The 12,269-nt window shown below is 39.9% G+C and overlaps 1 protein-coding gene across 11 annotated transcripts in view; it reads left to right on the forward strand.

Moving 5' to 3' along the window:
* Nucleotides 1-12,269, forward strand: part of LCLAT1 (lysocardiolipin acyltransferase 1) — a 196,980-nt gene that overhangs the window by 2,692 nt on the left and 182,019 nt on the right. For 6 of the 11 annotated variants that reach the window (NM_182551.5, NM_001304445.2, XM_005264244.2 and 3 more), the window contains exon 2: nt 9,615-9,785. The exons of the other annotated variants lie outside the window; for them this stretch is intronic. In NM_182551.5, coding sequence (NP_872357.2) covers nt 9,676-9,785 — 110 coding nt within the window. In that variant the 5' untranslated portion in view covers nt 9,615-9,675. The remainder of the gene's footprint in view (nt 1-9,614; nt 9,786-12,269) is intronic. 11 annotated transcript variants of the gene reach the window in all.

A 12,269-nucleotide genomic window follows, 5' to 3' on the forward strand; every position in this document is an offset into this window, starting at 1 on the left:
TGTGCTAATTTTTCCAGTCTTTATTTATTAATAAAATAGGATGAGTAAAAGTGGCTAGGACATTTATTGTTTCATTGAACCTTTATGGAATAGCCCTGCCAAGTCTTTAGGATGTAAACATTAACTCCTGACCCTACCCTTGAGGAGTTCAGGGAGAAGTCCCAGGTCCAGAAGTTTGTAGACAGTTGAGACAAATAAATAAATGATTAACTAATAAAGCATGATAAGGACTCAAATATAATTGTGGGTACAGAGACCTGTGAGAGCACATAAAAGGGAACAGTTACTTCTTCTGGGATGGGCCTGGCCAGAAGAGGAAGGGAGCTAACTGGAGGATAAAGGCGTAGGGAGAAACAGAGCAAAGCTAGGACAAGTGAGAGCTCATGGTGTCCAGGGGTCAGACCACAGTATTACAGGTGTTGCTGGGAGAGAAGCCAGGAAAGGTTAGAGCCAGGTTGTGAACTCTTAGCTAAGAGAGTGGGAACTCTCCTGCGGGCAGTGGGAACTGTAGAAGGATCTCGATTAGATGCATAGCTTCCACTTTATGCTACAAAAATGCTAGGATAATGGGTGTTAGAATTTTTTTCTTTTTACTTTAGGTTTTGAATATATTTGTACAGAAATCATTGTAATATGGAAGTAATCACTGATGGTTTCTCTAGTTTTAAAGCTGATCTCCACTTAAACGTGTGTAACACTAAAGTTGTCCAGCACCTAACAACATAACATGAATGCAGTGCAAATCGACTACAAGGTAGGGTGTGCAAATCTTGCAAAAGATGCAGGATTTCATGAAGTCAAAGCAAGGGGGAGAACTGCTGAAACCATAAGCGCAAATAAAGGACTAGTGCCTGGAATAGGCAGAGATTCTTAAAAAGGACTCAGAAAGCAATGATCATGAAAATGATTGATAAATTTGTCTTCAGACTTCTTTAAAATTGGAAACTTCTCTTCATCTGAAGACACCACTAAGAAAATGAAGAGCAAAATATGGACCGGAAGAAGAAATTTGCAATTTATATATCTGACCAAGGACTCATACCGTGTGTGTGTGTTTATTTGTGTGTGTGTAGCATAAACAAAATTAATGAGAAAAATCATTTTAAAAATGCATAGATGTCTTGAACAGGCACTGTCTATTAGAGGGTCTCAGAATGGCCAGTATGCACATAAAAAGGTACTTAACATTATTTGCCAGTGGGAAATATAAATTAAAACAATAATGAGATACTGCTATACACCTTCCAGAATAACTAAAATTAAAAAGATGGACAGTGCCGGTGTTGACAAGGGTGTAGACCAACTGGATCTCTTACATATTGTTGGTGGGGGCCAGTGTTGGCAAGGGTGTAGACCAACTGGATCTCTTACATATTGTTGGTGGGGATGTCAAATGGTACAGTCACTTTGGAAGACTGTGGCTTTGTCTACTCCTACCCGTGATCAAATGCTTGCATTCCTAGGTATACTCAAGAGAAACTAATGCATGTTAAACTAAAAAACATGTTAAAGAATGTTTATAGTGCCTTTATTCATAATCAAAAATTGGATATAACTCAATTGTACATCAGCAGTAGAATGGATGAGTAAATTGTGATATGTTTATAAGATGAAACACTGCAGAACCTATTGTACATCAGCAGTAGAATGGATGAGTAAATCGTGATATATTTATAAGATGGAACACTGCAGAACCAGTTGTACATCAGCAGTAGAATGGATGAGTAAATTGTGATATATTTATAAGATGAAACACTGCAGAACCAGTTGTACATCAGCAGTAGAATGGATGAGTAAATTGTGATATATTTATAAGATGAAACACTGCAGAACCAGTTGTACATCAGCAGTAGAATGGATGAGTAAATTGTGATATATTTATAAGATGAAACACTGCAGAACCAGTTGTACATCAGCAGTAGAATGGATGAGTAAATTGTGATACATTTATAAGACGAAACACTGCAAAACCAGTAAAAGACAATGGATTATGGATATATGTATCAACATGGATGTATCTTACAGACATAAGTCAGACATAAGATTGTACACTGCATGATTCCATTTAAATGAAGTCACAAAGAAGTACAATACTTCCCTGGTGACAGAAGTCAGAATAGTGATTACTCTGGGTTGGTGGTGGTGGTAATGACTGGGAAAGGGCATGAGGGAACCTTCTGGCAACATTTTATATGTTGAGATGTGTGGTGGTTACATGGGTGTATGTATATGTAAAAATTCAGAATATGTAAAAATATGAGGATTGTGCACTTTATTGTATATATATACTTTAATAATAAAAAAGAGGCTCTAGTGAGAATATGGCAATGCAAGATCACTTAACTTTAAATGAGAAAAAACAGCAGGGATAATTATGAAAGAGGTACTTTAAAAGAATTTAAAAGGAGTGTGAGAGGCTCCAGGAGACAAATGATGAAAAGTATAATTTTTTTTTTTTTCGCTAAAATGACTTTTATATAATTGTTTTGCAAAAGGCAAATGTGAAATTAAGGCCGTCACATCATGCTGTTTTACAATTTGGTCACAAAATTATGCCCCAAGCACTCCACATATTCATTAGTTTTTGTCCTAAGAATTAATGCACAGTTGCAAAGTGTAATCTAAGTTTTGATCAATACAATACATGATATTTTATGAACATAATAGATTTTTTTGTTTTATTTTTTGGGAAAATTCTAAGCAGGTCTCTTTTTCATCATTATGAAATATGGTCTTTGTTAAAGAGAAATGGCTGTGTGGTCTTCTCCCTGTGAGGCACTAATTGCTATTGGCTAATGAGGACTGCTGTAATTCCTTTGGCTGCAGGATTTTTAATGCAACGAGCTAAGAAAAGCTTTCGGTGTGTTTCCTGTGGCTGTGAGGTAATGCCCCAAAAAAGTCTTACAAGTTTTATTCACACCTTTACCTTGTCCTCTGCTTGTGGCAGTAGGGCCATAGGGATCCTACTGTAAAAACTCGGGAGGCAAATGGAAGAGACATATGAGGGGTTGCCATCAGTGAAAGCTGACAACAGAGGATTAGCTGCCTTGTCTGCAGCTTTTCGCAGTTGAGTTCTGAAGACTTCAGTTGTTCACTTGCTCAGAGAAAATGGATTACTGTTCTAGGGACAAAGATAAAGGGAAGAGTTATGGTACCCTTAGTTTTTCCTCTCAAATAAGAGACCACATCTGTTTTATATAAGCGTATATAGTTCATTCCCTCGGGAGAACTCATGGAGCGGGGGATAGCATGTTGTTGAGCTGGTATCTACTGGTGGTATCACAAAGAAAGGAAATGCTGGATGAAGATAAAAATAAATGATGAAGAAAGAGGAATGAGTGGTGGCGGCGGTTCTTCCAGCTCTTCCAGCTCCATGTGACTGGGAGTGTGGACTGAGGGGATTGTTTTTAACTCTTGACAGGGACTCTTCCCCCACTGGAATGTTTAGGTATCTTGGGAAAGGCAGCCTTGGCTGTGGCTTTTACCATTTCTTCTTTCATAATATAAATACTGTCTTAGAATTATTTTTTTCTGTTTGTGTAGCCTTTAAATGAAAATTTACCTGTGTAGAGTTAGGGAGGAAACTGATTGAAAGTTGGGGTGGCTTGAACACCAAAACGTTTCTTGACTAAACTCGATCATTTTTGGATGTACACCATGAACTTGGTGATGGGGACAGAGTTAAATAAGATGTGGTTTCTGTCTTTGAGCTTACTGTGTAGAGGGGGAGATAAACACAAATCAGTGCCTTCACTACAGAGGTCATTGAGATTTCATCATCTGTAGGTTTTCTTTGATGAAAAGTAAACATGACGGCTATGAAACTATTATGAAGACCGTAGGTAGTAATGGTGACCCTCTCTTTTAATAACGTGTGAGTGCCAGGTGTATACTGAGTTCTGTTCTAAGTGCTTTAAGTTTTTAACTCCTTTAACCCTCCCAGCTTCCACTGTGAAGTAAATACAAATACTGTTATTATCCTCATTTTACTTATGAGGAAACAGAAGCCCAAAGAAGGTACGGGGCATGGATTTGAACCTACGCAGTCTAGTTTCAGAGTCTGTGCTCTTAATTACTATGCTATAATGCCTGTTTTAATGTACTGTAAATTTAAAATATACTGTACTTGTGTGGCATTAAGTGTAAGGGATTATTTCAATGAGTATGCCTTGTATTACAAGTTATGTCCAAAGTTTCTGAATATCCATGCTGAATGTAACTTACGGTAGCTACTTAGGGTGAGTCTGTCTATAATGTGGGAGATTTAAATGAGACATCCTTTTTGCCTTTTCCCCTTTCATGTGTTATAATGATTGTTTTGATAGTCTTGCATGTTCCATTATATCATTTCAAAATTCAGTAAAATATATTACCAGGTTTATTGTTTGTGTTATAATCATACACATAATGAAATTTTATGATGTAGTGCTCAACCTGGACAGTGTGAATTACTGGGTTAACATACTTCTTAATGAGAGTAACTGCAGATTTAAACTTAGGTTTTTTTATTTTTTATTTTTATTTTTTAATAGAGACAGGGTCTCACTCTGTTGCCCAGACTGGATTGCAGTAGCCTGATCACAGCTCACTGTAACCTTGAATGCATGGACTCAAGTGATCCTCCCATCTCAAGCTTCCCAGAGTAGCTGGTACTACAGGCATGTGCCACCGCGTCTGGCTAATTTTTTTTTTTTTTTGTAGAGATATTGTTGTGTTGCCTGGGCTGGTCCCGAACTCCTGAGCTCAAGTGATTCTCCCTCTTCGACCTCCCAAAGTGCTGTGATTACAGGCGTGAGCCACTGCACGTGGCCCTAGGTTGTTTACATTTTTAACATGGTGATTCATTAAGACCAATTGATTAAATTAAAGGAAGAATTATGTTTGCTTTGTTCACTAAGAATGGGAAGGCAGTGGAGAAGCAGGATGGAAATAATCTAGAGGACTCCAAGGAGTGCCAGAGTGACCTTATTTTGTTGAATTTATTTATGGTAGTAATGAAACCTATATAATTTAGCTTCTCTTTCCTTCAGAGAAGAATATACTAGAAGTCGGAGTTACTCAAGATTGAGTCTTCTTTTGCTAGGCTACTTGATAAACAGTTCTTGTCTGTTGAGTAGGCTAATCTTCAGGGAACTGAGTATACAGTGGATATAATTGGATCCAGTGGATATAATTGGATATAATTTCTAAAGCCGTATTTATTTCTCTTTTTATCTATACTTTCTTTAACTGTAAAAAAATTTAGGAGTGTTACGTTCTCATTTTGAATGAGGAACTCTGAAATTGTATCTGATTTTCTCTTTTGTATTTGTACTTCAGACTAGTCAAATATGTATGCCTTTTGCATACATATTTACTTGGAGATGGGGAGATATTTATACTAGCTTCCTCTGGCTGCCATAACAAACTACTGCAGACATCGTGACTTAAAATGACAGGCATTTATTTCTCAGCGTTCTGGAGGCCAGAATTCTGAAATCATTATCAGTCAGCCAAGATCACGGTGTCAGAGGGCCACACCACCTCTGGAAGATCTAGGGGAGAATCTGCTCCTTGCCTCTTCTAGCTTCTGGTGGCTGATGGCATTCCTTGTTTTATGGCTACATCATTAATCTCTCCCTCTATGGTCACGTTATGGCCTTCCTTCTCCACTTCTGTCTGCAGTTAGATCTTTGTCTTAGGCTGGGTGTGGTGGCTCACGCCTGTAATCCCAGGACTCTGGGAGCCTGAAACCATCCTCTGGGAGGATTGCTTCATCCCAGAAGTTGAAGACCAGCCTGGGAACACAGGGAGGCCCTGACTCTATAAAAAAAAATTAAAAAGTTAGCCAGATGTGGTGGCATGTGCCTATAGTCCTAGCTACTTGGGAGGCTGCGGCAGGAGGATCACTTGAGCCTGGGAGGTTGAGGCTGCAGTGAGCTGTGATCATGCCACTCAACTCCAGCCTGGGTGACGGAGTGAGACCCTATATCAAAAAAAAAAAAAAAAAAAAAAAAAAAATTGGAAGTGCTCCCTACGCTTCTGTTTTCTGGAAGAGATTGTGTGAATTGATCTTAATTCTTTAAACATTGGTAGAATTCTTTAATGAAATGTTCTGGGCCAGATTTCTTTTTCGAAGGCTTTATTCAATTTCTTTAACAGTTATTAGGGCTATTCACATAATCCATTTAATTTTGGGTGAGTTGTGGTAGTTTGTGCTTTTGAGGAACTGATCCATTGACACACAAAGTGGGTGTCCTCATTACTACTGGGCAAGTGTGGGAGTGTCAGCCCCTCTTTAGGACTCTACTGACACCACTGGGAGGGGATGGCCTTCTTACCCCTGGGCGGAGGTGAAAGTTCTGACTCTCTGCTAGGCCTCCTCTGATACCACGCCAGTGGGGATGAGAAGGAGTGTCTCATTACTGCCAGGTGGGAGGAGGAATCCAGGCTCTCCAGGTGGTCTCCACAGATACTCCCTGGCAGGGGAAGGGGGTCTTATTACCACCTGGCAGGGAAGTCTAGACTTCTCCAATATCACCCCTGAAAGGATAAGGGGTAGAGACACCTGGGAGCCTGAACAACATTGCAGCCTTGTAAGGGTGGAAACTTAGGCTCCCTACATGGCTTTTGCTGTTGTGGGTGGGGGTGGGCCACGGTTTTTTTCTGTGATATTGGCTGGAGGGCATGTTGTTTATTGCTCATTTCTTTGGCTTAGGAGAGCAGGGGTTTGTTTTTTGTTTTTTTGTTTTTGTTTTTAAGCTGGTTGTCTGTGGTATACGATGAGGCAAAAAGAAAACCCAGGGAACTCACCACCATATTTTCCATGGGTCCCAAGGTCCCTACCTGGTTTGCCTTATCTGTATCTTCAGAGTCCAGAGTCTTCCCATATTTGTTTACCTATAATGGCCAGGATTTTTGGTTGTACTTAGCTAGAGCAGTAGGAAAAACTACATTTACTTGATCTTGCTGGAAGCGAAAGTTGGACAGGGATTACTTCTTTATGGAAGAAAATACAGGGTGGAAATTGAGATGCATGAATTAGCCAGTAAGACACTGAAGGAAGCTAGTTTTGGGTTAGTTACTTGGAAGTGACAGCTTAACTATGTCTTTATTTCTCCAGAGAGAATTCTGTGGGTCATTGCTCAGTAAAACCAAACTCTCTTTAGTTTTAGATTTCTTAAGAGGTTTGACAGTATAGTGAATTACTTTATTTCTGCATTGAGATATAAATTAATAATATAATTTCTGGCTTAGTACCTGGTAGAGAAAAATTTATCTTTGTGAAAGATTAGTTTTATGGAGGGGATTAACTCCAGTTTTCTTTAGTGGTTGTCAGAGATCTTGGAGCTGTGGATCCTTATCTAAAAGAAAAAAAAGTGTAGCAGTTCAGATCTGTGTAAGGAAAATTTGTGAAAGTCTGAAACCTAACAAAAGGATTACTGAATAGCTTCAGTGGAACCCAGGTGCTGGCTAGAGCAATTTTCTTGGTTACTACTCTGTAGTCTGTAGCTTTCATTGTTTTTGATGTATTTTACAACCTTGTAAGTTGTGAATAACAATAATACAAATTATTCTTGCCCTTTTACATGCAAAGGATGTTTGTTGGAAGTACAATGGTTTTCTTTTTCTCTTTTGTGGAAGAAGCCAGTTTTTTATCTGTTAAGCAAATTCATTTCAGTATTTCCCATTGCCTAAGTATGTGTCTGCTCTTTGGATTCTCATTTGAACCAATTGGAACATCTTATTTGTTCCCTAATTAGAGTTATAGATAGAGGTGTTGATTTTATATTTGCATGAGAGACACAGTGCCACCTTTTTGTTTGTTTCTTTCAGTTATCCTTTAACAGATTGAACTCCAAATTTAGCCTGAGTTTGAATCCCATTTACTGTTGCGATTTGGGTCACGGAATTTTATTTTTTAACCTAAGCGTGTGTTACTTCCTATAAAAAGGAATTTATAGTATTATTTTCTTTGCATGGTTAGTGTGAGGATTAAAAGAGATGTTGTAAGTTACACACTTCTCATAGTACCTCGTATAACATAAGAATTCTTTTTAAAAAACTCTTTATTAGAAGACTGTGGGCAACTAATTTTGCCTTCCTGAGACTTCATTTCATATTGTTAAAAAAAAAAAAAGAGGCAACTTTTCACTTGGTTGTTAGGTTGTAAGTTTCACTGGCAATAATTGGAAAGAATAGAGTGTAGTAGCTGACAATAGTTGCTTTTGGAGAGGTAGACATTTCTAATATGCAGTGACCTTGCTGCTCTGAGAAAGGGAAATGTAGAAGTTTGATATGGTGAGCAGTTAGTTAGAATAGCATCCTGGTAATTCAATTCAGTAAACAGTGGTTGAGAAGACCCTGCTCTGTCTGGCTTTGTACTAGGAAGAAGCATTAGGGCTGGAAGTGTGCTATGATCTTTTTGCTTTAAAACAATTTGGAGGGTGGATCTTGATAGACAGAAGGCTTTAGTGCTGCCAAGGACCTTGGTAGATTTGGGCATGCTCCTCAGGGAGTAGGAACTGGGAAGGGTTGGATTTTGCCTAATCTAGGAATAGCTGTTGGGAGTTTCAAGAGCAATTTTTGGATGAGTAGGGAGGTAGGGTGATTGAGGAAGAGGGAGGAACTGGAATGATGTCTCAAGGATGTTATTTAAATTGACTTTTCCTTCTGACCCTCAGTATTTATTGTTTTACTTAAGTGTTTTATTGGGAGTGGAGAGTGATGGTGGGTGGAAGTGGAATATACCTGGTGAACTGGTTGAGTCTGAAGAAAGGATACTCAGAAACTGAGAATTTAAATCTCCCAAAATCAGTACTGGTCCAAGGGAAAACCTTGGTCTACTGTGAATAGTGTAGTTGGATTGGGTTGGTGGGTCCTTCAAGACAGGGGCATTCCCAGCTACTATGCCATTAGGATAATGAAAGTAAGCCTCAGTGCAAAGTCTACTGTGTGAATGTAAGAAGCTTACCTATATACCTATAAATGTAGGTATGTATATACTTATATTTATAACTGAGTAACATTCATTCTGATATAAGGAAATTACTATAAACAAAAGCAAGAGTTTCTCTACTGCAAACGTATTTTAAAGTTTTATGCAAAATAAAATGGTTTTTGTAATTTGGCAGTAGAATCAGGATCCAGGAAATGAGCAGCATGTGGTCATGCTTGCTTTCCTTCTTTAGGAAGGTCTTTGGGTTCCTCTAGCCATCTTTGAAACTTGAATACCCTATGTGTTACAAAGTGTGGGGGAAAGGAGCTGCCCCTTACCTGTTTTTTCTTGGGTTGGGATCTAGGCTGTGATTTTGCCCTTGCTGTTCACATTCTGGCTCAGGGAGAAGCAGAAGCTCCAAGGACCTGGCCAGTGTTAACATTTCAGCTGCCCTCTCTCTCTGGAACTTTGTAGAGGTGGCATGCATATTGGGCTCTCACCTCAGTCTTTTGGCATTCCCTTCCTAAGCACTATGACCCAGCTTCCTGAGTTGCCCTGTGCATTAATCCATTCAGTACTCAGATGTTTCAGGTCCCTGGGCCCGTAATCTGTTTACTCCATGAACCATCTGATGAGCCCGGTGCACTGTTCCCAAACTCTGCTTTCTCTTTTTTTCTCCCATTTGTCCTGTTCACAGGCTGAAAAACAGAGTGGGTACTCTCTTCTGGGAAGCTGGCAACAAATGGATGATGTGATATATGCATTCCAGGGGAAGGGAAATTGTGGTGCTTCTGAACCCATGGTCAATTAACGAGGCAGTTTCTAGCTACTGCACGTACTTCATAAAGCAGGACTCTAAAAGCTTTGGGTAAGTCTTTGTAATGATTTAGATGCTTGAGGTTTTTGTCTTGCTTCATATATCTGAACACAAAGCTTTTTGAATTGATCATAGTTTGTTCCTGTTTATGTTGTATTGTTGACATGTTCTATGCTTGTTCTATAACCTTTTCATTGAAAAATAAGCATTCATTTCTATTGGAGGGAGATAAATGTCCTTTTTTAGAAAATAAAATAACACATTTCTGTGAAAGAACAAACCCAGCATTTCTGTTTGGCATTTGGTTGTGTGATTCTTTTTGGATCTTTATTTTAAAGATTAGGTACCATTTTGTTTAGAGTCGAAAATATTAAATTTTTTGGAGGTTATCCCTTACACTTTCTGCTGCATGCAGTAACTTGCTTTTGTTTGACATAGGAGCTTATGTGATACCATTAGCTAGTATCCTCCTTTTGAAACAGTGAGGGTTTGGGGAGTCCAGCGGGGGTTCATCTGTGTGAATAACTGACAACTGATTCTGGCCATGTCCTCTCTCATCTCTAGGCTCATGATCTCCATCTGCCCAGTGTTCATCTGCAATCTCTGGCTGCCACCTCAGTCTCAATTTGATTAAAACTAAATTCATTCTCAATCCCATATTCAGTTACCTGCCAGGTTATGTCTGTCTCTGTTTATTTAATTGTCCAGGCTTGAACCTTCTTAGATAATTTCGACACCCTCCCCCTCAGCCTTTTTCTATTGCTGCTGCTTTTGTAATGCTTTTGATGTTTTTTCTCCTGATCTTTATGCTTGCGTTACTTCAGTAGTCTACTAGTCGGTTTCTGAAATAATAGTCTCCATTTCTTGTGTATGTGATATGATGAAGAATCTATTATATCTGGCTTTTGTCTTCGGTTCCTGACAATGAGCTTCAAAAAATCTTGGGATTTCCTTATAGATGTATCTTTTGTTATTCATAACAAGAGTCTCTTTTGACCACACCTGAGTTTATCCTAATAAGGTGACTCTGGGTGGGCCCTTAGATAGTTCAGGAAAGGAGCTGTCCACATCAGAGAGACCTTGGAACTTTTAGCCCCATCCCCTGGTCTCTGGGGAGGGGGCAGTGACTAGATAGCAGAGCCCAGTCATCTGGCTAGTGATTTAATCACTGATGCCTAGGTCATGAAGCCCCATATAAAAACCCTGGAATAGCAGTGAACATACTGGTTTGCTAGGAAGATGACACCTGGATTTCTTCAGGGGAGAGCAGGGAAGCTTTGCATCCCTCTGCCCTCTTTCCTAGACCTTGCCCTTGCTCTGTGCACCTCTTCCATTGGGCTGTTCCTGAGTTGTAGCCTTTATAATGAAACTGTGATTGTATAGTGCTTTCACTGATTTCTGTGAGAATCGTTGAAACTGAAGGGAGGTTTTGGGAATCTCTGAATTTGTAGCCAAGTTGGACATTAGTGTGGATAGCATGGGGATAACTGAAGTGAGGGCAGTCTTGTTGGAAACCTTGCTCTTTAACTTGTGGGATCTGATACGAACTCCAGGTAGTGTCAGAATTGAGTTGAATTGTAGGACACCTAGTTGGTGTCAGAGAATTGGTCTCAGAGTGCAGTGTGCTTACCCTTTGACAGGCATTGTGGTATGTGCGCTGCATGCATTATTTCATGTAATGCCCACCATGGTAAGACCTAGATTTTTTTTTATTTGTTTCTAGTTAGTTTTTGGTGTTTTTGTTGTTGTTGGTGTTTTGTTTGTTTGTTTTTTGAAACGGGGTCTCACTATGTTGCCTCCACTTGTCTTGAACTCCTAGGCTGAAGCGGTCCTCCTGCCTCAGCCTCCTGAGTGGCTGAGACTACAGGTGTGTGCCACCAGGCCTGGCCCAGGTCTGATTTTATCATCTTTGTTTTACTGGTAAGGAAAGCCATAACTTGCCCATTGTCACAGAGCAAGGAAGTGTTGGAGAAGTCAGTGCTTTCTGACTTTAAAGCCCTTTACTTAACCCTTTGGGTTGGGCCAACTATCTTCCTTGCTGTAGACATTATTACCCTCCTCTAATCTGGCTGCTGTGGACCACTTTTTCTAAATTAAACTTTTTTTTTTTTTTTTTTGAGACGGAGTCTCGCTCTGTCGCCCAGGCTGGAGTGCAGTGGCGCGATCTCGGCTCACTGCAAGCTCCGCCTCCCGGGTTCACGCCATTCTCCTGCCTCAGCCTCCCGCGTAGCTGGGACTACAGGCGCCCGCCACCACGCCCGGCTAATTTTTTTGTGTTTTTTAGTAGAGACGGGGTTTCACTGTGTTAGCCAGGATGGTCTCGATCTCCTGACCTCGTGATCCGCCCGCCTCGGCCTCCCAAAGTGCTGGGATTACAGGCGTGAGCCACCGCGCCCGGCCTAAATTAAACTTTTATCACATCATTTTTGAACTCAGAACTTTCAGTTACTCTCCATTACTGTAGGATAAAACCCATTATTTGCAGGCAGCCATTCAAGGCCCACTGGAGTCCAATAGGCTCAAATTAATGCTGTC

The sequence above is a fragment of the Homo sapiens genome, chromosome 2 (genome assembly GCF_000001405.40).
Source record: "Homo sapiens chromosome 2, GRCh38.p14 Primary Assembly".
NCBI classification, from domain to species: Eukaryota; Metazoa; Chordata; class Mammalia; order Primates; family Hominidae; genus Homo; species Homo sapiens.